Source organism: Homo sapiens, chromosome X (genome assembly GCF_000001405.40).
Source record: "Homo sapiens chromosome X, GRCh38.p14 Primary Assembly".
Classification (NCBI taxonomy): Eukaryota; Metazoa; Chordata; class Mammalia; order Primates; family Hominidae; genus Homo; species Homo sapiens.
This window is the reverse complement of record NC_000023.11, coordinates 133,761,409-133,786,897: the sequence shown is the minus strand read 5'-3', so window position 1 is coordinate 133,786,897 and position 25,489 is coordinate 133,761,409. Positions and strand designations below refer to the sequence as shown.

The following is a 25,489-nucleotide window of genomic DNA, read 5'->3' as shown; positions in this document are numbered from 1 at the left end:
GATGTTTGATTGTGTTACAGAATTTTGCTCCTTAGTTCAGTTAAAAATCTGGGTTCTTGTCACATGACCAGGAAAATTTAGGCACGCAGACACATTGAAGGGTGAGTAGATCAGAATTTTATTGGGCGAAAAGGAAAAAAAGAAAAAAAAACTCAGCAAAATGAGATGGAGTCCTGCTAACAGGCCCCCGACCTCACAGATCAAATCCCAGGCCACCACACAGGAACTGAAGAAGCCAGGCTCTTCCCCTGCATAAGCTACCATTCCCCATGGCTCCACTCACTTCTCCCAGTGCATATGTCAGGCTCCAGTCTGCTGTGGGCATGCCCAGACAAGCCCTGGGCAAGTTCCCTCATCTGCACAAAAGCGTCTAATACACACTTGTGGGGCAGGTCGGAGATTCTCCGGGGACCCCTTTTTATCTGCCTAGGCATTTGGCTGTCTCAGTTGTGTTTAAAAACCCTATCGGGGTTCTTTCTTTCTTCCTTTCTTTTCTTTTCTTTCGGCAGAGTTTCGCTCTTGTCACCCAGGCTGGAGTGCAATGGTGCTATCTCGGCTCACTGCAACCTCCGCCTCCCAGATTCAAGCACTTCTCCTGCCTCGGCCTCCCGAGTAGCTGGGATTACAGGTGCCTGCCACCACGCCCAGCTAATTTTTTTCGTATTTTTAGTAGAGATAGGTTTCGCCATGTTGGCCAGGCTGGTCTCGAACTCCTGACCTCAGGTGATCCACCCACCTCGGCCTCCCAAAGTGTTGGGATTACAGGCGTGAGCCACTGCACCCAGCCTCACTTTATAAAATATATATTCTTTATTTTGACAGGATTATGTTTAAGGTAGCTTTTGATGAGAGACGTTTATCTTTTCTAGATCTTTTGTCCCCGGTGATTAGTTGTAAATTTTTATAAATCAAAGAAAGGTCTTATTGATCTATAGGTTTTATATTATACTGTGCATGAATAGCTATTGCTATATTACTGAAGAGACTGCCATATAGTCAGGGTAAAACATTGATTTTCACGGACTATAGTATTCTTTGCAGAAACAATACGTTGAACTTTAATTTCCTGAGAATGTCAACTTGCCTTGCCCGTCAAGAAATTAATCTGTGGCTAGAGCTTACTGATATAGCAGTCTCACCTACTTGATTAGACATCATGTCATTTTATTACATCGATATCTTTCAGAGGCATTGCCAATACTTGTATTCAGAATCCCATCTTTCCTTTTGATGAGGTACACTTAGCTCCAATAAGTAAACAATGAGTAAGTGCAAAAACCAGTACCTGGCACACAATAGGCATTTAAGTTTAGATATAATTTGTTGAGATCTTACTAATGCCTGGCATAGTACGAAGCTATTTATCTGTATCTATATTTATATTGGTACCTGTCTGTCTAGCTATCTACCTACTTATCGATCTCTCATTTAGTCCTCAAAATAAATCCTGTGAGATAGGTACTATCATTTCCCTTTTACAGGCGAGAAACTGAGGCTGAGAGGTCATATAACTTCCCCATAGTCACACACACCATAACCTGCAAAAAGTAGTAGAGCTATGGCTTGGAACCTAGTTTACCTGACACTCTAGTCTACTCAGGTATACTGCTTTTCACAAACAGGCTGGAACTGGCTTTGAGATACTCAGATCTGCCCTGCTTCTGACAAACAGCAAAGAAGACCCCCCACTTCCCCAACCAAAAGAGAAAGAGAGAATCAGACCTGGGGTAAAAGTCTGTGCTCAAGCAGTGCTATCTGTCAGCAGCTATATACATCCACAAGTAAAGCCCCCTAAGGAAGTTTCTTCCAAGAAAGTTCCCATCCTGGTTTATTCAAAGACCTGAATTTTAAGTGGGACCACCTCAGCATTTCCACTGATCTGTTTCCTGCAGGGGGTAAAAAACACACACACAAATAAATAAAAAACAAAACCCTATGCAAAAAGAAGTGACTGTCCAGAATAGGCAAATCCATAGAGAAAGAAAGTAGAGTAGTGGTTGCCTAGGGCCGGCGGGGAGGAAAGAGAGGAAATGGAGAGTGACTGTTACTGTACACAGGCCTTCTTTTGGAAGTGATGAAAATGTTCTGGAATCAGATGGTGGTGATGGTTGCACATCTTTGTGAATATGTCAAAACCAATGAATTGTACACTTTGAAGGAGTGAATTTTATGATATGCCAATTATATGTCAGTTTTTAAAGAAATGAGGGATCATGCCCCTCTTCTTTTCTAACAATAACAATTTCCTTACATTCTCTGTGTTACAAACAGTCTGCTGTTAAAGGGGAGCGGTCCTAGAAATGGAATGTCTGTTTAAAGCGTCCATGTCCTTGGGGGTTCACAGTGCCATTTAGGGGGATGCCATTAGTGGCCTGTGACCTTTGACTTAAGAACAGTGGTAACTTTGAAATCAGCTCTGCCGAGGAGCTGGTCAGTATGGGCTCCTAGATTCCAGAGGGGATTTTCAATTCCCTGATTACAAATTTCCTAGGAAAGTAGGAGACCCAGTTTGGGTTTCTGCCTCTCTGCATGATACTCAGGTAAAGGCTGGGGTTTTTCCCCTTTAGGAGAAATGTGAATAGTTAAAGTGTAACTTCTGCAAATAACTTGATTTATCTTGAAGTGCAGCAATTTGCTACACGTGCGTTTTTCAGAAAGCACTAATAAATTCCAGGTCAGAATCATTTAAAGCGCCCCACAAATTGATAGTGAGGTCTTAAAAAGGCGCAGCAGCTTTGGAACGTTAAATTTACTTGCTGTAAATTTGGAATAAGAACATAAAGAATCACTTTCCAGCAAGATGATGAAAATTCATCATGTTCATTATGTGTTTCTTTAGAAGCACACTACATTAATTTTCCAGCTCAACTAAGTGGAGGAAGTAAGGTTTCTCGTTACTAAAGAGTTGCTCTGATGTTTAGAGAGGCGGTCCAGTTTCATTAATGAATCCAATCTGGTCTGACTTGAGATACTGCTTAATGTGTCCCCAAAACTCGAATATGGATAAGTGTCATACAAATCAACATCAGGTTTTCTCCTTTTAAAACAATGGCCAGAAGGTATTTATAAAACTTAGTTTTGTTTTCCAAGGATTCAAATGCAATAGCTTGCATTCAGCTCTTGATTTTTTCATGGTAATGAGGGAGAGCAATGGTATGGCTCCTCTGAAAATAGTATCTCTTTGCATTTGACTCTGAAGAATGTGTCAGAATGAAAGAAAGGAAAATAAAGAAGTCCCACTGGTCAGCACCTCCTCCTGGAAGCCCTCTTCAGACATTTGTCCCACTCTAGGGCATGCTGGAGAATGATAACATCACCTCTCAGCCCAAAGGGGCTTTTGCTAGCTAGGGGGAAAGCAAAAAGTGTCTTCCTGTTCAAAAGCCTTCTTGCTCAGCTGCAGGCCAACATGGAGAAGTGAAAGGAGAAGCAAGGCAATCATGTGCGTCAACATCAAGTGTCCTGTCACCTACTTTGTTTAACTTGGCTAATAGGAACATGAAAGCAAGGTCATTTGCCCGAGGATACCTGAGATATACAGGCCCATCTTTCTAGGCCCTGTAAAACACACTTTCCATCTCATCTTAAAGAACCTCAAAAAGCTTTGCAAACTACACAGTGGTCTAGAATTGCTTGACACCTCCTGAAATGCAACCTATGTTGTGACTGGTAGCGGCTGTTAAATAACTCCTAGAAATTCTGCCCGGAAGTTCAGATCAGGGATGGGGAGGTAGTACTTTGGGTTGCTGTGGTTCCAGCACCTCCAGACCTTGGATCCCTAGCTCTCTGTTTGGCCTGATCTGCTTGGGCTCTCCTGACCAAGCTGAGTCCTAGGACACCTGAACCTTGGACATCTTTTTTGGCCTGATATCTGTTGTGATCACACATCCCTCTCTGTCCACCCCCTGCCTACTGACCCCTTGACATCTACCCAACTCTGCTGGCCTAATGAGCTCTCAGAATTGGCCCCTGCTAACCTGTCTTCTTGCTGCCTGAGTCAAAAGCTTTGGCAGTCTGTTTGCATAGATGTAATACCTATTCTTGTGGCAGATCTCTATCTGTAACCATGGGAACTAGGCACAGACATTTATATGATAAGCATCCAGTCTCTCTATGGTCATCTCTTGTTTGTCAATGCTAGTGGAGAGGAGTAGAGACATAGGTAATCTGATAGAATGGGTGATCCAAAATTCATTTGTATTTGAAGTTGAAATGGACATACACACTTCATCAGGCAGCCATATATAAAGAGACTGCTCTGAGTCTGGTTCTGACTTCTGTTTTATAGTAAGGTGCTAGGAACAGAGAAGGAAAGGGACATGGGAAAAATGAAAAGAACAAGAGGAAGGGAAAAAGGACAGAAAGGGGATGGAAATATAGAATAGGAAATGTGAAGAGACACACTGAGAGGTGAGTGCTTCTTTGAGTTAAAACAGGTGGAGTGCTGAGTGCTTCCAGAGGTAACTGACTTGCTCTGTTGGCCTTGTCTTTTCCTTGTGTTCCGTAAATGCTAACCTCAGATTTACATTTCTATCACAGAGTTTCAGGCTTGATTACTCTAAGAAGTGCTTCTCAGATAGTCACCTTTCTATTACGCTTTCTGTAGAGATGAAATTTAGCAACTGGTAATAATTACGGTGAAGGTCTCAGTCCTCAGCAGAGAATGTGAGTTTGCAGGGTAGTCACAAATGATGTTGCTTTGGTGCTGGGCCAGGGGTTTAGGGTTAGCACTCTGTCTCCCACAGAGGAGATGGAAGGGAATGCCTGGGATCTTCAATAAGTAGATTCCCTCTGGTAGCATTCAGAGCTGTTACTTCTCAGAGCAATTGCTAGTTTGGGAATGGGCTCTCTGATGAGTCACTGTGGTCTGCATGATTTGTAGAGGTCTTTGCAAATGGCAGTGCTTCCAATCCAAAAGAAGTTATGAATTTCTGTCCTCAGAAGTGCTGGGAAGATTAAAGCCCCAGGAACCCAAAATAAGCTGTTGAGGGCATAAGAGAGATTGGATTTCACACCAGACAGTAAATTTCTTCAGGAAAGGAATCATGCCCAATTCTCTTTCAGGTTCCTGGCACCCTTAGTACCATGTCTGGCACAGAGCGGGCACTCACTGAACACAGGAGTTGAGGCTAAACAAGGAAGGGTAGGAGTGGAGACTAAAGGGTAGCTTTGGCCATTGCAACTGCAGGCTTTGTGCAGTTCCCTGACTTCCAATTTGCCTCTTCCCCACCTTCCCACTAGGCATGCTTACACCTAGTTTCTGCTTCATCAGCCTTGTTCAAGGCTTTCAGAAAAAGAAGTCTGCTCTAATGTACCCCTTCTGCCAAACTATCTGGAGTTCACCTTTGCAAAGGGAAGTCAATCCATGAAGATAGTGTTGCAAGTTGTTTTCTCAGTTTGTAGAAAAAGTGCTTTATTGGTCTCCTGACAGACTGGCCTTAAAGTCATTCCATAGAGTCCCCAGTTGCTGCATTTTGAGCCCCGACACCTGGCTCAGCTCTAGCCTCTGTTATCCTGGCTGTGTAGCCTGCCAGCTGTGACAGTCACCATATGGCCTGGTCTCTCACTCTTCCTGCCTCAGCATTGACTAATGTGGCAGAAAAACACTCCCATTACATTTTTGTGGATGAGGCAGACAAGTGGATTTACTTTTGAAGTGAAGGAAATGAGACTGAGATTTCCTTCTAGCCTGTGTTGCCAGAGAACTCTTCATCAGTGAGGCAGTTGGGAAAGAAAATATAGAGCTACCTTTGTAGATACAGAGGATCGATTCAGAGAGAAAAATAATGAAAGAAATACAGAATTAAAAAGAAACAAGATGCAAGGGTGTAATGGGGGAGGAAATACAATATCCTACATACTGAGAACATCATTTCTGAAATAATTTTCAATAAGTTAGTGAAAGCAGTGCAGTTCCACAGGGCTTGGGATATGAGAAAAATAAAGTAAATATTTGGAATAAGCCATCATGGAGAAAGGTCTCTGATGAGTTGCTATTCACTCTGACTAGACTATAATGATACTAAACAGAAATCCTTTGGCGCCTCCTATTTGCAAGTTTTTATTGAGGCACTCAAGATCATCGTTCTCTTTCCCTTTGGGATAACAGCATCCCAAGCAGACTGTACAGGGTTTGATGGAGGAGGTGATGTTGCCCATTGATCTCCTTTTACACTACTAGCAATAGAGCCTGCTTCATTCCTAAGCTAGGCACCACATTTCTGAAGGGTGGCTGTCACTGAGACTGCAGGTCCGGCTCTGTGAAAGCAGGTTGATAGGTAATTATATGTTCCCATGAATTACTTTCAGAGCTGGGTAATTATCATGAAACTGACCAGCTGGAACTCACAATTAGCTCAGGTCCAGGCTTCCCAGGCCACCAGTCATTACCTTCGAGTCAGGGTAATCTGGGACACAAATCGTTTCTTTTAAATGTTATAAGACAGGAAAACATTTAAAATGAGGAATGGCTAGGCCCTCTAGAAAACTAAAATCTGTTATTAAAACAAAGTATAAAAGAAAATATTATACCTTTAAAGAAGCCTGTTTGTGAGAGGCACAAGGAAGAAAAGGGATACTCTGAAATAGTTTTGGCAGGGAAAATTTCAAAATTTAATATAACTTAAAAATATTCCTTAAGATTAAAGAGAAACGAGCTGTAATATTGAATGATTAGGAAGCTATAACCATTTTTTCTAGCTTCCAAATAGCTTTCTCTCTAATCCCACGTTTATAAGAACAAAAAAATTTTGTGACTCTTCATAGCTTACAAGATCAAACCTAAACCTCCTAGCATGGCGTCTAGGTCATTTCCCAGCCTCGCCCCAGCCTACTTTCAGCCTCTGCTTCCATATGGACCCCATAACCATTTCATTTCATCCATCCATATGGCATTTATAGAAAGGTGCCATGTGCAAGATACTTCTAGGTGTTTTGTGATCTAACGCCACATTACTCCACCTTGGTGGGGACTTTATTAGTTCACCATGCTCCTATTTGGGCCCCATTTAAAAAAATTATGAGGTGGTGAGTGCCTGGGCAAGGATTGTAGCAATGGCTTGGGGGTGGGGATAGTCAGGACCAGGATGTGGTAGGAGAGGGGAGAAAAACTTTAAATAACAAAAATGATGGATATGACCCACCTTCTGTTTTTTTTTTAATTTCAGTGATTTTCCAAACTCCTATGAATCATCTAAACCCATGCAAGATAAAATTGGCTAAGCAAGGTGTTATATATTAACACAATGGAATGAACATCTCATAGCTACATGAAAATGTGGGTATGAAATAATGCTATTAATAACAATGAACACTGAATGAGCTTATTATATGCCAGACAGTGTTCTAATCATTTTGTATATATTTTATCATGTAACCCTGACAACAGCCCTCTTAGGGCAGGTACAATTATTATCCCGATTTTACAGGTAGAGAACCCAAAGTACAGGAAGGTTAAGTGACTGGCCCAAGGTCACACAACTAGCATGTGGAGGAACCAGGATTGGAAAGGTTGTGTTCTGGTTCCAGAGTTCATGTTCTTAACTACTGTATTATAACTGTCTCTGTACAGGAAAAAGAACATAAAAAGTACATAAGCATAGCTACCCACATATAAATACCTTGTTAAAGACAATTTGCAGTGATGCAAATGATTGGATTTAATGTTAGATTCATTCTTCTGTAAAGAAGCTTAAATTCATAAGAAGAGGAAAAGAGTGAGAATAGTTTAGCGTCATGGGGGTCAAGGGAAAGCAATTTAGGAAGGAAAGTGTCAATGGTGTCAAATGTTAACTGAGCCAGGAATTAACTTAATAACTTCAAGCAAGTCACTTAGCCTCCTTAGTAATTGTTTCCTCATCAGTAAAATTTTCTATTGCTTTACAGCTACCTTTTGAAGATTAATGAGATGATGTTAATAAAGTCCTTGTGATTTCCTTTGATAATACTTTCTCAAAATTGCAGACCATATTTTTAGAGGGTAAAAAAACACTAAAGGCAGAAAATATGTAAATTTTTCAAGTGTTGTGCGATAATCTAAAGTGTTTCATGTCCTTCAACTCTGGTTGGGGTAGCAACATAACCCCAAATGTCTTGGTATTTGAAGGGAAGAATCAGCCACGGGCCCTGTACTGTTATTATATTCAAACCAAGCTCTCAGAGTCATCCAGGCAGTCCCAGGTCAAGAAGACAACCTGATATTCCCAGTTGAGTGTCTCTTGCATGTCTTTGGCTATCATGTTTAACTAAATCTGAAGTGACCTTTTACATTTTTGCCAAGAGGGAGATCATGATAATGCTATAATAGACTTTATGTTCATCTTGGCCAGACATAACAGTACTTGAAAACTATCTCAAATTCTCAGTTGTTTATAATGTCTAATAATCACATTGCTGTTTCAATTCGTATCAGTTGCTCAGTGGGTCCATTACTAATTTTGTTTCCAAAATATTTATCTATAATGGAAAAAATTCTTTGTAAGAATCTATTCTGATGGTTACATGTAAGTAACAACTCAACTATAAACAACCAAAGAAGGGGGCTGTCTGAGGGGCCAGGTTCTTTCTCTTTTATTGCTTCTTTTCCATTCTGCTTTTGAGTTTTTGGTTTGCCTTCTACAGTCTTCATAAAGAAAGGGTAACAAGCAGTTCAGATAGCTCGAGTAACCATCCCAATATAATTCTCTCAAGCTCCAATGCATTGCTGAAATGTTCAAGTCTCTCCTGCTTTTGACCCATGTAATTTTTGGGGGGGAAATAATAAATCTTCAGTAGCTAATGTGTGTCACCACAAGATGACTGTCTTTAGTAGTGTGCAACCCTTTTTAAAGCAGGGGTTTGAGCAAGTTCAACAGATAGGTCATTGTGTTCTTTACAAAACAAGGTTTTATTGCTAATTGACTTTATAACTTGTTCTTATTCAAGGCAGTTCTAACATATTTCTTCCAGGAGGAGAGAAAGTTGGATGATGGAAAGAACAAAAGACCGGGGCTCATGAGGCTTGGGTTTTAGTTCCTGCCTCGTCAGTTTCCTCATCTGTGAATTGACGAGCTTTGATCATCAGAGTGCCCAGACTTGGCTCTGCATCAGATTTGCCTGGGGAGCTTGTTAAAATAAAGATTCTTGTGACCAATGCCTAGAAACTCTGAATTGACAGTTCTATGGTAGGGCCTAAGAATCTGTATATTTAACAAGCACCCCAGGAGATTCTGACATAACAGGTTTGCAGACCAACAATAGTTAGAAGTCATTGACTTAGATTACTTCTAAGGCCTTTCAGATTTCAACATATGTAATTCTAGTATCAAAGATTCCTAATCTAAACAATAGATGAAAATAAACAGAACTGAGATAAGAGGAAATGTATATTAATAGTTTCATGATGGGCTTTTGTATTCTGAAACCAGAATTTGGGGTATCAGGCACTACTAGAAGATGTTGGCAAGGTTGTGGGTCCAGCAAGTGTGCTGGAGTCAGAGGTCAGACTTCTAACTTGAGAAAAGGAGGTGGGCACCATGAAGTCATAATTTCACATCAAGAATTTGGGCTCCAGAGGTCCAGGGAAGATAAGCAGGCATAAATAGGAACAGAAGCCTACCATACAGGAATTGCTTGAGACTTAGAATTAAAGTAAAAAGAGAATAAAGAGAGGGTGGAGACCAAGAGAGGAGTGGAGAAAGAGGGGTTGAAACCAGGAGAATAAGAATAAGATCTCTGTTCTTGGAATACCTGTGGTCCATGCATTAAGAAAGAAACGACGTCTTTGGGAGGTCGAAGCGGACAGATCATGAGGTCAGGATTTTGAGACCAGCCTGGCCAACATAGTGAAACCCCATCTCTACTAAAAATACAAAAAATTAGCTGGGCGTGGTGGTGGGCACCTGTAATCCCAGCTACTTGGGAGGCTGAGGCAGGAGAATCACTTGAACCTGGGAGGTGGAGGTTGCAGTGAGCTGAGATCGCGCCACTGCACTCCAGCGCGGGCGACAGTGTAAGACTCCATCTCAAAAAAAAAAAAAAAAAAAGAAAAGAAAGGACGTGACTACTTCCTTGCTGTACTAATTTTTGAGTATACTCATTGCTGTAAGAGAATGAGAGCAAAGTTCGTGGACTGTGATTGGAACAGAAGTGTCTCTTAGGTCATAAGGTATTGGGGATGCACCTGACCTAGTATTCTTCTGACCTCTGGATTATCACTGTCAGGGCTATGGGAAATGGCTGTGACTGGAAAGGAATAATAGCCAGTGTGAACAAAGACAGGAAGATGGAGGTGGATCTCAAGGAGCCTGAGATGTCCAGCTCAAATGACTCAGAAAATTGATAACAATGAATAATAAACAATAGTGAAGGATCTTGGCATCAGTGGCTGCATTTAATGGAGAGGCTCTTCACTTGATTTTCCACATACAGTCATGACCTGTATAGGTAGGTACATTTTGCCACTCCAGTTGAAAGTGAGTAAAAATATGGGCATCACAGTTTAGCGATCTCGAATACTAGCAGCAGGCCTCACTGTGGATCTATGCGTAGACGAGACAGACCAAGTAGTGCTGGAAAAGGGGTCTGCGAAGGGCTGAGACATGGGGATTGTTTTGTCATTCTTGGGAAGGCCAGGAGGGGGCGCCAGTCATTTGATTGATACCCTATAATCTGTGTAACGAGATTCTTTGAGAATGTGTTTTGATCAGAAATAGCAATGAATTTGGTTAACAATATCTCCTCAGTTTTCTGCTATATATATTATTAGAAAGATATATTTAGAATAGATAAACTATAAAAATAACTCCATAATTACAACCCTAGAAGTTTAATATGTCACAGACTGGAAAAGGCTTCTTTGATTTGATAGAAAGGGTGTGTTTGACCATTGTTCACTGTGCTCACGTGTTGATATTTGCTATGCACACCACAGTTTTTCCTTTCTGGGAGGCTTTTTATTTTCCATTAACTTTGCAGTCTTACCTTTTCCACTGATAACTTTTTAAAATAGTTTTGGGTATGCACCTTTCTTTAAACCCATGCCCCTTTTAATTTTTTATTTTGAAATAAATATAGACTTAATGTTGTAATTATTAGATATCATGAATTATGCTTATGATTCTCAGAGATGGCCAGAGGTGTCTTCTTCATGGGTTACATTTTTGTTCCCAAGGTATCTCTTTTTCAAAGTGATGCTCTCAATTCTGCCAAAGCCCCTCGTGTAGTGAATTGTTTATGTCCAATCCTGTAATTTCCTTGTCAATATACACATCCTTTTGCTGTGTTGGGGAAAGACCATGTAATTACTGACCCCGGCACGATACCAATTTTTACAATCTTATACTGAAATAGATTTTTGTGACAATTAGAGCAGTTAGACAGCCTAGACAGAGTGCATGATCTTGGGCCCTAATGTTAGTAAGATGGCCAGGCTATCTGCCTGTCTGTTCATATCAATCTCAACATATCTTTGAATGTATCGCTGAGACATGGAAGCAACTTACAGGGGCCTCCCCAAGACCCTGAAAATAAGGAAAATGAAATCACTACCTAAAAGTTAAGCTAGAAAATCAACAAGCTATGGATGAGAACAGAACTATGCAAATTCACTTTGAAGAGACTGAATTACAAAAGAACAGTGGAGTCGCATATTTGTTGTCTAATTTTGTGAAGTATAAATGTAGTAAAAAAAAAAAAACACGCTGGCAGCAAATTGCCAAAAGTTAACTCATGTTGATAACAGTTGGTGGGAATATGGGTGATTATTACTTTACTTCTTTGAACTTTATTTTTTTAATTTCAAAAAAAAAGAGAAAAAACAAGACTGAGACAGAGACAGACAGACTTAACGGCTGCTATGAAAAAAGGCCAGACAGTAGCCTGACTGACAGTGTTAACACAGTAGAAGAAAGAATGTGTCAATCAGGGAGTGGGAGCCATGGGCTGTCAGTCATGAAAGCAGATGAAAAGGAGAAAGTCACAGAGAAAGATAGTAACACTGATCAGTGCCCTTCTACCAAGAAAGAAACTGCCTTCTTGGGCTCTGGGCTAGGCACAGAGGCAACACAGCAAAGTGGTTATAAGTGAGATCCCAGATCCAGACTGATTAGAGTTCATATCTCATGCCCACCACTCCCCAGCTTCATGACCCTGGGCAAGTGGTTATACCTTTCTGAGCCTCAGTTTCTGTCTATAACATGGGAATTTTAATAATGGTACTTACCATATAGAGCCATTGTGAGAATAAAAGGAGATAATTTATGTATTCAGTATGGTGCCTGACACACAGTAATCTCTCAATAAATGTTAGCTATTATTATAATATTTTATTTATAATACCCTATTTATAGAGATATATTTTAACATGATGCCATAATTAGATATTCAAAGCTTATACCTTGGGTTGACATTGCTTCCACGGTCACTAAGCGAGCTTTGGATTATATTTTGTCTTCCTATGTTATTTATCAGTAGGGAGATTATATGAGGATCTGTCACCTCATGAATTATATGTATCATTATAAATGGGTTACATATATTATATATGTCATTGTAAATGGGTACACTAGTGTTCAGCTTTATTCTAGCAGTCTTTGGAGGGTTTGATAGTGTGGGTTCAATCAATCTGGAACATTATCAAATTGAGTTTTGAGCCTCCAAATCCTGGGCATTTTAAAATTTTAAACATGGCCCTCTGTGAGCTTGGTTGAAGTGAATCCACCTCTGAGGGCCAGAATCCAGACCTAATGAGGTTTCCTAGCAGCCAGTCTGCCAGCATTCTCCCGCCAATTAACTCCCTCTGTTTCTACACAAAATTGTACGGGATAAAACCAGAAACTCATTTCATATTTTCTGTGTACATTTGCTTGAGTCCTGTGCTTTGTACATGTCCTATATGAGTTTATACAGTGCCTTAGTAAGATACTACATTATATTGTTACTGGAGTTGATGTGTAATATCAGCCAACTAGTAACTATGGAGAAATAGCACAGAATTATGGAATTACAATGCTTGAAGGGAACTTAACACTCAGGTAGTCCTGTCTCCCTGAAGGCCAGAGAGGAAAAATGACCTATCCAGGATGACAGGTGGTTTATTTGAGACAACACTATACTCATATAAAAGCATAAAAATTTTTCTGAATTACTCATCAAAGCAGAGATAAAGGACTGAAAGAATGTATCAGAAACCCAAAACAGAACCCAAAGATGAAGGGTCCACCTCATTATTATTCTGCCACATGGAAAATATTCCATGGCTGAAGTCCTTCACTCTGCTCTTTTATGTTCACTTTATTGGCTTTTTCCTTCATTCTGATATTTTTCCTGGAGAAATAACTGTCACTAGTGTTCAAGAGCTGACTCTTCATGAACTAGGTCAAATTAAAACATGGTTCTGCTCCTTTTCCAAGACATTTTGTTCATCCTAAAATGCTTTTCTTTCTTCTTTTTCCTTAAAAGGGGACTGCCTTCTACATAGTGCTCCCATTTTATTTGCATTTCCCTCTCAATTTTCAGTTAGTTCAATTACTTATTTATTGAGTCCTTTTCTTTGTCTAGTTTTGTGCTTCTTTGTCAATTGGTACTGTTCTTCACATTTGGTATGCAGGCCGCCTGGGCTCTGCCTTCATGACTAACTCATGCACTCTTTTAATAAAAATAAAAATTTTCATGGTGAAACCCCATCTCTACTAAAAATGCAATAATTAGCTGGGCGTGGTGGCAGGCGCCTGTAATCCCAGTGGGAGGCTGAGGCAGGAGAATCTCAAACTCAGGAGGTGGAGGTTGCAGTGAGCCGAGATTGCACCATTGCACTCCAGCCTGGGCAAGAAGAGCGAAACTCCATCTCAAAATAATAATAATAATAAAAATAAAAATTTTCTACCCCCTTTTTGTTATGTGAAATTTCAGTAACAGTGAATATGCCACTTGAAACTGCCTTCCTCTTTCCTTCTCCAAGGACAAGGTCTAGTCTCCCATATCAGGCATTAGAGAGGAATGCTTCAGAGCTCATTTTGAATTCCAGCTCTGCACCACTTACTTGTTGTGTGGCTTTGAGGAAGTTGTTTCTGCTCCCTGAGCCTCAGTTTTCTCACCTATGAAGTGGAAATAATCATAATAATTAAATAATAATGTAATTAATTAATAAAATGTGAGGGGCACTTGAAATAGTGCCTGGTCCAAACGAATGTGCTATGCTGATATTAGTTCTTGTTACTATTGTCATCATTGTTCTTGTTACTGTTATTTAGTCATCATTATAAAACTGGTCTTCTGACATCACGTTAACCATGATACTCAACCCAGATTGTCAATATCAGCACTGTCTCCAGTAATGCCATGGCATTCTTAGGACAAAATAAACTTTTGTTTTAATTTAATGAATAAGGAGCATATAACATTTTTAGGGGGTGGGGTATGACGATACCATCAACCCAAATGTGCTGATGAAAGAGACGTGATTCCAGGGAGGTTGGGACCTATCATGGTGAATGTATTCACCTGGTTGTTTGTCGGGAGCAGACCTTTCTCCGTGTTGGTGTGTGCTGGCATGATGCACCACACCAGCACCTTTGTTTATGATCAATAGTGACATAGGTCTGCTCAAATAAATTAACATTCTTGTCTGGCCCAACTCATTTTGAGAAAACTGATTTGCAAGCCAGTGTGTAAGCTGACCCATATAACCCCTTAGCTTAAAAAAAAATGTACTGTATACCATTGTAGTTTTACTCTAACAAGCATTGAGCGATGGCAGGCAAACTTTTCTTTAGTTTAGTTTTTTTCTTTTTATGGCTACATCGACTGACTTCTACCTGGCGTTCTTTGAGAGGCATGTGGAAAGGAGACTGAAAACTAAATACAGGAGAAGGAAAGGGACACAGGGAAAAGAGGGATATTGGAATTTGTCAGCGTCTCTGAATACTGGTGTCTTGTTCTATAGTAAAACCTCAGATCTGAGCAATTCTGAAGAGCTTAAACACAGCATAGGAATGGAGCAAGCTAATTATGGGTCTATTACAGGGGCGATTTGAACATCATTTACATTAGTATTCCAATGACACATTGACATGATGGCATGCCAAGACCACACAGCACTAATATTTCCTTCTTCCCTCTCTGCCCAGAGAATTTATAGCCTAAGGAGAATATAATAGAAAACAATTTACTTCTCTAGTTTGGTTTTGGTCATTCCGGGCCAGAGGCATAGACTGTAGTGACTTCCACATGCAGATTTGGGAAAGTGACAAACTTGAATTTTAATTCATCTAATTGTGGTGTGTTTCAAACCTAAACAATACCATTTTGAGGGGTTTGGCCTCATCTTTCTTTCCTTAAACAAATAGAATTTTCAGTGATGTCAACTTCACTATTCTAGACCCCATGAGATGGAATTTAGCGTTTGGGTCAGGCTAGTGAGGTCAGCTGAGGAGACACAGTGCAATTGTGCCATGTCTTCCTTTGCACTGGAATTGGGGATGTCTCCAGGCCCACACAGAGGGGCCCTCAGGCATGTTTAAGGAAAGCGCTAAGCAACAGGATCAGACGACCTCATTAGGGAAAGTGACTGTAACTTGTATTTTAGAGATTTTGTTTAAAATGCCCAATCTCAAATTCAGCCTTTTCCAGGCACATTGCCAAATTACAGCAATGGACCATTTTTCAAATGCCCATTTAAAATAAGCGGTCTTGAATGTAGCAGTGTGACAAAAGATCCTTTTGGCAGAAAGCCACTTTAGACATCAGATTACTCCAAGCATTATTTTAAAATAGTGCCCGGGCCTTTAAGTAATTCAGGTGCTGTTTCCTTTGAACACAGAAAATGTCAGTGTACCGAGAGCAGACATAAATGGGGCAGGCCTGGCCAACAGCTGGATTTCCTTTTCCACAGATGGATTGAGCCCTCATAGTGTATACTGTCCCTTGTCCATCTGTCCGAATGGAGTTATCTTCCTCTGATTCACTCCTTCCCCCCATCCCCTCCCAGATTTAAATGGGGGTGAGAGATGGGGGAGTTACGAGGAAAGAAACTTATTGTGAGATATTGAGGGTGAAACTCCTAGAAGAAAATAGAAGAACAATCCTGCTACGAGGTGGATTCTGTGCTTGCTCTTCCCTTTTTATCTGGAATAGCAATTGGGAGGTAGTGACAAGGGCTGCCAGAGGTTTGCTAAAGAGAGTTCTGAAATAATAGGTTTTGGTCTTGTGCAAATAAAGACCTGTAGTTTGTTAGGAGCTTGGGGACAAATGGTAGCAAATGGACAAATGGCCCCATCTCTGATCCTGCAAGTCACTGAGGTAGCAGTGGGTGGCTTGCTTTCTGTTTCTAGCTCAGAACTTGGGACTTTCTAGGAGATTCTAATATTGCATATGAACCTTGCCAGAGGTGCTCGGACAACACAAAATAGAGAAGCTGAATCAAGCATTTATACTTGTGGGAGTGGTTGCTTGTCTTTCTGACCATACCCTCTCTTCTTCCAGGTTAATTCTAGGATTACTTTCATTGCTGGCTCTCCATTTTTATAACTTCTTATTAAACTGGTTTCCACATTCTGTTAAAATAATCAAGTGTTCAAGAATGTTCAGAAGGTCCAATTTCATTAGGTCATCTGGTCCTTAATCATGAACCTCACATGCGATTTTTTTTTTTGACAGGGTCTTCCTCTGTCACCTAGGCTGAGTGCAATGGTGGGAACATGGCTCACTGCAGCCTCGACCTCCTGGGCTCAAGCAGTCCCCCTGCCTCAGCCTCCTGTGTAGCTGGGACCCCAGGCATGCGCCACCAACCCTGGCTAATTTTTTGATGTTTTGTAGAGACAGAGTCTCACTATGTTGTCCAGAGACTGGTCTCAAACTCCTGGGCTCAAGTGATCCTCCTGCCTTGGCCTCCCAAAGTGCTGGGATTACTGGCCTGCGGCACTGCACCCAACTGTGATTGTTTTATAGTACAATACAGGCAGCTCTTGTGGCTGAGTCACTGCTTTATGCAGAAAGATTTCTTAAGCCAGGCACCCTGCATGTATGCTCTTACATGCAGGGTATCTGGCATTTCGTATACAGAACTGTTATTTGTATGTCCTTTATATATAATGTCCCTTTTAAAAACAAATCCAGTTAAGCTTTGAATAAAAAAGATGTTTCTCTAATTCATTTCTTCGACTTTGCACTAGGCTTTTAGGCTCTTCAGATAGTTGCTGAAGTCCCTAACAACTGCTGTAGACCAGAACTAAGGTGGTAGCTAAGCCTCAGAATTTAGCTGGTTTGGTGCAAATAGGTACCAAGTAATATTTTATTTAGGCCTACATAGATTAGATGACCTGCCTTCTAGATCACACTGGTATTATAGTATATTTTCCAGTTTATTGAGGTGTAGTTGACATACAAAAAGCTGTACATATTTAATGTGTGCAATTTGATGAATTTGGAGATAAGTATATACCCTTGAAGCCTTCATCATAATCAGTGCCATAAACATATCCATCTTCTCCAAGAGTTTCCTCCCATCCTCTTAATTTATTATTTTCTTTGTGATAAGAACACTTGACATAAGATCTATGCTCTTGGCGAAATTTTAAATATATACAGTATCGTTGACTATAGACACTATTCTGTATGGTAAATCTCTAGGACTTCATCTTGTGTAACTGAAACTTTGTACCAATTGAATGATGATACCTCTCTGTTTTGCCCTCACCCAGGCTCTGAAAACCACCATTCCTCTCTCTGCTTTGATGAGTTTGACTATTTAAGATTCTTCAGATAAGTAGTATCATGTAGTATTTGTCCTTCTGTGTCTAGCTTATTTCATTTAGCATAATGTTCTCCAGGTTTATCCATGTTTTTGCAATCAGCAGGATGTTCTTCTTTTAAAAGGCTGAGTAATATTCCATTGTGTGTACATGTGAGTGTGCATGTGCATGTGTGTGTGCATATGTGCGTGTAACATTTTCTTTTCTTTCTTTCTTCTTTCTTTTGTTTTTTTTTGAGACAGTGTCTTGCTCTGTCACCCAGGCTGGAGTGCAGTGGCTCAATCTCGGCTCACTGCAGCCTCTGCCTCCCGGGTTCCAGTGATTCTCCTGCCTCAACCTCCTGGGTAGCTGGGATTACAGGTGCATGCCACCACACCTGGCTAGTTTTTTGTATTTTTAGTAGAGACAGGGTTTCACCATGTTGGTCAGGCTGGTCTCGAACTCCTGACCTCAGGTGATCCACCCACCTTGGCCTCCAAAAGTGTTGGGATTACAGGTGTGAGCCACTGCGCCCAGCTGTAACATTTTCTTTGTCCATTCATCTGTCAAGGGACACTTGGGTTGTTATCTATGTCTTGGCTATTATGAATAATGCTGCAATGAACATGGGAGTGTGGGTATCTCTTTTTCTACTGCCTCCCTCCATTTTAGATGTCAGTAGTACTGGCTCTTTATCCAAAAATTAAGGAGGGGAGAAGGGGGTACAGTGGGGTATGAAGGAGGAGAGTCATCATAGGTAGTGTTCAGGTATGTATATACTCTAGTTTTGGATACATGACAATAATTTTCTTTTTAAGCAAAGGCAATGTCAAAAAGAGGTTGCAAAGACCTGCTGGAAAAAGGAGAAAAGTTTTGCTTCATGAAAAGGTCCATGGAGTCAATCTTTACTTACTCTCGAGCTCTTCCTGGAGAGTGAATTCTTTACTTTAGGCGCTCGATGCTCAGTAAATTGTGAAACTCTTCCCCCTCTGCGTATAGGCATTAGAGACTTTTGGAGATGCATCCAGAATTTATCAAACTCCTCAGCAATCAAATAATGATAAATTACATGGTTGCTTTAGTGCCTCGATGGCCTTGTAAGACAACTGGGGGAAACAGAGACTAACGTGCCCAGCTAGACTAAGAACTTCATTAGAGCAACACGGCTATTTTCCTACCAGCTGACTTATTTTGTCAGGTTATAACCTTAATCCTGGAGATTTACCCCCCCACCCCGCCACCCTATTCTCTCACACAGACTCCCTAACACACACGTACATACAACTCAGTTCTAATGTGGATGCAAAAATCATTTTATAATGTTTATAGAATATAAGAGCAGTTGGCTGAAGGTGAAACATTCCTTCTTTTGGGCAGGCTCAGGGGAAAGCTGCATGGTTGAACTTTGCTTGTGTGCCACCCCTGCCCACCTGCCATTGAATTTGGCTGGAGTCCCTGTGGTGGTGGTTACCTTCCTGTTAAGTCTTCGCCTGCTTCCGGAGCCCATTGAGTACACCTGAGCAGCTCTCTTCCCCTGAGTTAACTATGCCAGCCTTCAACAGTCCCCTGGCCTTCATCCTCCCTGTGTTTCATGTGTTGGAATACCCTGCAGGAAACTGAGTCCTAAGAAACTGTCAAGATCTTGGCCCTTGAGCCTTGTTTCTGCCAGTAGCCCTTTGAACGAACTGCGACTCAAGGGAGAGCCTGGCCTTTTTGCAAAGGCTAGCTTTCCAATTAAATAGCAGAGTTTTATGGTTAGAGTTGAGAGCTCTGAGATTTCATACCTGTATCAGTAATCCCTAGGAAATGCACAATATTGACCTTTTTCACTTATTTTCTTATAATTTCCATTTCATCATGACTCTAAGGCAACACAGGTAATGCATTTCTGGGGAATTATTGTTGTTGGTAAGTAGTTGGAATCATTCATATTTTTGCATAGTTCATCACATCTTACCCAAGTTGTAGAGTTATTTTCCTGAAATATTTAGTAGACCCAGTGTAGCCAAACAGCTGAGGTATTAAGTTTACTTAGAGTCAAACCAAAAGGAAAAGAAAAAAGAAAAATAGACAAACTACCTATATCTGGAAGCATTGTGACATAGTAATTTAGTAGGTAAGCTCTGGATTCAAACTGCTTATATTCAAATCTTGGCTGTTCTACTTACTGTCTGTATAAGTTTTCTAAGTTACTTCTCTGTGCCTCAGTTTTCTTATCTGTAAAATGAAAACAATACTATACTCACCTCACAGGGTGGTTCTGATAATTACATAAATTAATTCACATAAAACGCTTGAAACACTGCCTGGCAGATGGTAAATGCTCCAAGGATGCTAGTTCTTATTATACCTAAAGCTAATCTTGAAGTGCTCTGCAATATTTGCCCTTGAAGAAGATGGACATAATGGAAAAAATATTGGACAAATAGGAGTTCTGTGTTTCATTGCTGCCACCATCTACTACATAGCTATATGATTTGGAGCCAGTCTTAGTTTCGGTTACCTCGTCTGTGAAATTGGGATAATAATGTTTCCCTTAGCGACTGTTCAAACACATGCATGCACGAGTACACATACACACATGCTCACATTCAATGATAGAGAAAGAGAAAATTAAGTTAGAACACAGATTTTTAAAATCTGAAATTACATGAGGCATTTTGCAGATATGGTGATCTGTTGCCATGTATACTATGTATACTTAAGCTATAAAAGAGTCCCAGAACAAAATAGATTAATACTTTTATAACTATATGGTATTTTATGGTTTTCAAATGAGATAGGCCATCTTGTATTTATCACAGCTGGCTATAGCTGGCTATTGCAAGCCTTTAGGACCCAGGGATAAGTTGTTTGCATATTTTATTCACAGTCTAGCAGAGAGTGTACACTCAGTAAATATTAAATGGAAAAAATGTATTTACACAAGTGCAGTCAATCTAATGAGACAGCAAAGATGCCTCAAAAATGGTCTTTAAGTAGTTTTTCAGCAAGTGGTTAATGTTGCTGACTTTACCTAATGTCAGGGGCCTATGATAATTTAGGTCCCAAACAAGTTGAAATTTGTATTGGACACATCTTTAGAGACTGTGGTATGAGTCACCAAGGGAAGCAATAGCCCAAGCCTTTGGGGCTTGGGATTGCTTATCTCAGATCTACCTTATCATTAACAAGAGAGTAGGCAGTGAGTCTTATGGCTCTCTATCTGTAAAGAGTCAAAAGAAAATTGTTACAATGAGTGCTCAGTTAGTACTTGTTAAGTATATGAATGACTAAGGCTTTGGGAGGGGGTATGTGTATAAATGTTAAGCCAATTCAGATATGATACTTCTCATTAATGATGGAAAGGAGGGCTGGAATGCACCTTCCAATAACAACGGGTAAGAGGAGTCTGTTGCTTTTGTAATCACTGAAGATTTGGCTGTAAAGCACTTGCAGAAATAAAAAGTGCTATGGAAATCTTTAATAACAGTTACAGACACAGTGCTCTCAACAACAATGGTTGCATACACTACTGGCAATTGACCTTTCTTAGGATATTAATTTAGTGTCTGAGTGGTTTAAGAGGGAAAGAAGAGCATATAAGAGCAAGGCTATGTAAAATGCACACATTAATTGTCCTAATAATAACACAAAACGTCCCCTAGATGTTTGGCTCTTTCTTTTCAATGACTACAGGATATTGAAAAGAAATACAGGTTTTTTATTAGATAAAGGCACTACCAGAATGTTTGCATTTAAACCTTTAAATGCAGCTATTCCTTTTTTAAGGTGCAGAATCTTTCATTCAATACTTACTCAAAAGCCTATTTTTATTTTCCTAAGCTATGGTTAGTAACAGTAAGTGCTTGAGAGAAGAAACTCCTTAGCCTTGATTTGTGGAATTATGGTGATACGCTATTAAAAAATTCACAAGTTGAGAAAACAATAGCCAGATGTAGAATATATGTTAGTGATTTTTTTTGGTCTAGCTAAGATATAATCCAGTCTTCGCATGGCTGTTTGGAGTAATCCATGTCCTCTCCTCATAAACTCTTTGGAGAATGACCTTTTTTAAAAAAGAAAAGTTTTTAATTAAATAGAATGATTTGGTGAGTCCTGGGAGCCTTTTAACTACTCAGTATGTGGATTATTGGAAGAACTGTAGTAGAACTTTACTTCTTTGGGTACCATCAGGCTTTCTTTTGTAAAGAATGAACTAAAAAATCTAAGAGTGTGATCCTGATACTTCTTCGTAGGTGTCATTTCTTAGCCGTGAGAATGTTGAATAAGTAAGACTATTTTCCAATCAACCAAGAATTAGCTGATCCAAATGAAATCCTGGGAGACAGAGAAGAATGAAAAAAGGCTAAGGATCATGACTTATAACAGAAATAACTCATCGAGATGACAGCACAAAAAATACTGATCCCCAAGATTCTGTTACAAGATCCAGAGTTATTCTTGGTGTGTCCACAGTAAAACGGGTTTCTAAACCCCAGTGGCTTTTACAAGACAAACTGTTCTTAAAGTTTTATCTATTTAAGAAACAAGTTTTCATGTGGGATTCTCCTACGCTGTTCTGTTTAGCTACTTTCCTGCTTTTTCAAGGGTGTCTTTTTCCTGAACCCAGTGTGAAACCAGACACATTCTGAGCGATGATGAAGGTAGCCTTATTAGCAACTCCCTAATTTTAACATTGTTACATTTGACTCACATTTTTAAGATGTGGAAAAAGTAAAAAGTTGGAAGATTTTGGAAGGGTCATATACATAGATTCAACCAAGGGCATTTTTTCTAATTTCAGCTTTTATTTTAGATTCAGGAGATACATGTGCAGGCTTGTTATATAGATATATTGTGTGATGCTGAGGTTTGGGGTATGATTGATCTCATCACCTACGTATGAAGCATGGTATCCAGTAGTTAATTTTTAAACCCCCACCCCTGTAGTTCCCAGTTTCTATTCTTACCATCTTTATTTCCATGAGTACCCCATGTTTAGCTCCCACTTATAATTGAGAACATGTGGTATTTGGTTTTCTGTTCCTGCATTAGTTTGCTTAGGATAATGACCTTCAGTTGCATCCATGTTGCTGCAAAGGAAATGATTTCATTCTTTTCTATGGCTGTGTAGTATTCCATGGTATATATCTACCACATTTTCTTTATCCAGTCCACCATTGATGGGCACCTAGGTTGGTTCCATGTCTTTGCTATTGTGAATAGCGCTGTGATGAACATGTGAGTGTATGTGTCTTTTTGGTAGAATGATTTATTTTCCTTTGGGTATATTCCCAGTAATGAGATTACTAGGTTGAATGGTAGTTCAACTCTTAGTTCTTTGAGAAATCTCCAAACTGCTTTCCACAGTGTCTGAACTAATTTACATTCCCACCAACAGTGCATAGGCATTCCCTTTTCTCTGCATCCTCACCAACATCTGTTGTTTTTTGACTTTTTTTTTTGAAACTGATGTTTATTTTTTGTCAGCCTTATTTCCATGTTGCTTAAGAGCTGATATAAGAACAGCTTAAGACTAACCAGTGGTTGCTCCTACCCATTCAGTGGCCTGAGCAGTGGAAGCGGCAGACCAGTCTTCCGTGGCAGGCTGAGCACTCCAGTCTTCAGTAGGGAACTGCTGAATAGGCACAGAGGGCACCTGCACGCCTTCAGACCAGTCTGTCACCTCAGGCTGAGTAGCAGTGAACTCAGGAGCTGGAGCAGTCCATTCACTTTGAAATTCCTCCTTCATCACAGCCTTTTCAGCAGCAGTCTGCTATTCTTTTTCAGTCTCTTCAGGATCTCTGTAGAAGTAGAGATCAGGCATGACCTCCCACAGGCGTTTGCAGGAAATGGTACCACGCGTGTGCAGAACTTCCTGAGCCAGCATCCACCACATCAAACCCACTGAGTGAGCTCCCTTGTTGTTGCATGGGATGGTAATGTTCACATAGCACAGAGGAGAATCTGTGTGACACAGAGCAATGGTGGGAAGATTAACATAAGATGCCTCTGTGAGAGGCTGGTGGTCAGCCCTGGGGTCAGTAACCACAAGAAGCTGCGGCTCCTGAAAGGCTGCCTGGATCTGGTTAGTGAAGATTCCAGGAGTGAAGCGGCCAGCAATTGGAGTGGCTCCCATGGCAGCAGCAAACTTTAGCACGGCCCTCTGGCCAGTATTCCTGGAGGATATGACACTGACATCAGCAGGGTTTTCAATGGCAACAATGGTACGAGCTGCCAGCAGAAGATTCTCCCAGGTCCTCTTCAGATTTAGGATGTAGATGCCATCACTTTTCCTTTTATAGATGTACTGTTTCATTTGGAAGTCAGGGCTGGTGCCACCTAAGTGGGTTCCTGCTGCAAGGAACTTAAGGACACCCTTCTATTTCATTTGCAGGACATCAAGGGCTCCGGACGTTGTGAAAGTTTTCCTCTGAGTTAGGACAGGAATCCCGAAAAACGCTGTATGGACCCCTCTGTGGGCAGGGCGGAAAGGCTGTTGTTTTTTGACTTTTTAATAATAGTCATTCTGACTGGTGTGAGATGGTATCTCATCGAAGTTTTGATTTGCATTTATCTGATGATTAGTGATGTGGAGCATTTTTTTTCGTATGTTTGTTGGCTACTTTTATGTCTTCTTTTGAGAAGTGTGTGTTCATGTATTTTGCCCATGTTTTAACGGGGTTGTCTTTTGCTTGTTCAAATGTTTAAGGTCCTAATAGATTCTGGATATTAGACCTTTGTCGATGCATAGTTTGCGAATATTTTCTCCTACTCTGTAGGTTGTCTGTTCACTCTGCTGACAGTTTCTTTTGCTTTGCAGAAGCTCTTTAGTTTAATTAGGTCCCACTTGTCAATTTTTGTTTTTGCTGCAATGGCTTTTGAGGACTTACTCATAAATTCTTTCCCAAGGCCAGTGTCCAGAATGTCAACCAAGAGCTTTGACCACTGCTAGGGAAGACAGTGTTGAACTGCTAATGAGTCCCTGACAAGGTGTTTGCCATTTATAAACATAAACATTTCTATAGTTGCTACTCATACTTGTGAGAAAACATTGTTGAAATGGTATTTTTTCTTTAAGTGGTAGGCATAGCTCCTCTCCCTCCTTCTCCTTATTTATTTACCTACCTATTTGTTTTTATCCTACTTTGTCCCCAGAGGAATTTAAAGTGCTCTACAAATATGTGCATAATAAATGTAAGATGCAATGCAACTGAAATACATAGGAACTATCAGGCAAAGGGGAATGTAAGATGGAGCCAGGTGTAAGATTATGACACAAAGTACATAATGAAGTTTATTATGCTTGATAGAAGCAGACCATAAATTTGGCCCTAAGCGTTCTAGTAATAAATGTGAAGAGGGAAAAATGATGAGTTACCCAAATTATGGTGTCCAGAAGGTTAAAATAAACTAGTTGTTCAGGAAAGCTAATGGTGGGTAAACGAGAAGAGCTAGTTGGGCTAATGAGTTGGTCAATTGTTGCAGACTCATACATTTTCTAGTAGTTAGAGCTATTCACTTCTCATTTCTGAGGACCCTTTGACTGAATTATTTTAATTGTTCTCTCTGATCTATAATAGCCTTTAGGGAAATATCTGTATCTATCTATCTCTCCATCTATCTATCAAATGATATATATAATAGCCTGTGAAAAGCATATATTTCTTCTTTCTTTCACTCATTCTTCTGTTCCTCATTGATGTACATTGTATTTAGAAGCCTAGTGTGTGAAATTTAAAAAGCAAGACTGTATATATTTACAGGCTGGTCATGGATCTGCACAAATAAATTGCTTATATTTA

General features: G+C 40.2%; 1 protein-coding gene and 1 pseudogene across 5 annotated transcripts in view, besides 2 other annotated features; one reads left to right on the top strand and one right to left on the bottom strand.

Annotated features, from left to right (window-relative positions):
* GPC3 (glypican 3) overlaps window positions 1-25,489 on the top strand; it is a 449,850-nt gene that overhangs the window by 198,697 nt on the left and 225,664 nt on the right. The gene's annotated exons all lie outside the window — the stretch shown is intronic.
* Window positions 3,307-3,366: an enhancer, noted in NCBI's record as "active region_29974". NCBI's record gives its function as "activates an Ori minimal core promoter by ATAC-STARR-seq in GM12878 lymphoblastoid cells {active_cell/tissue: GM12878}" and the evidence as "EXISTENCE:reporter gene assay evidence [ECO:0000049][PMID:35858748]".
* Window positions 3,377-3,426: an enhancer, noted in NCBI's record as "active region_29973". NCBI's record gives its function as "activates an Ori minimal core promoter by ATAC-STARR-seq in GM12878 lymphoblastoid cells {active_cell/tissue: GM12878}" and the evidence as "EXISTENCE:reporter gene assay evidence [ECO:0000049][PMID:35858748]".
* On the bottom strand, window positions 23,145-24,178 carry RPSAP63 (ribosomal protein SA pseudogene 63; annotated as a pseudogene).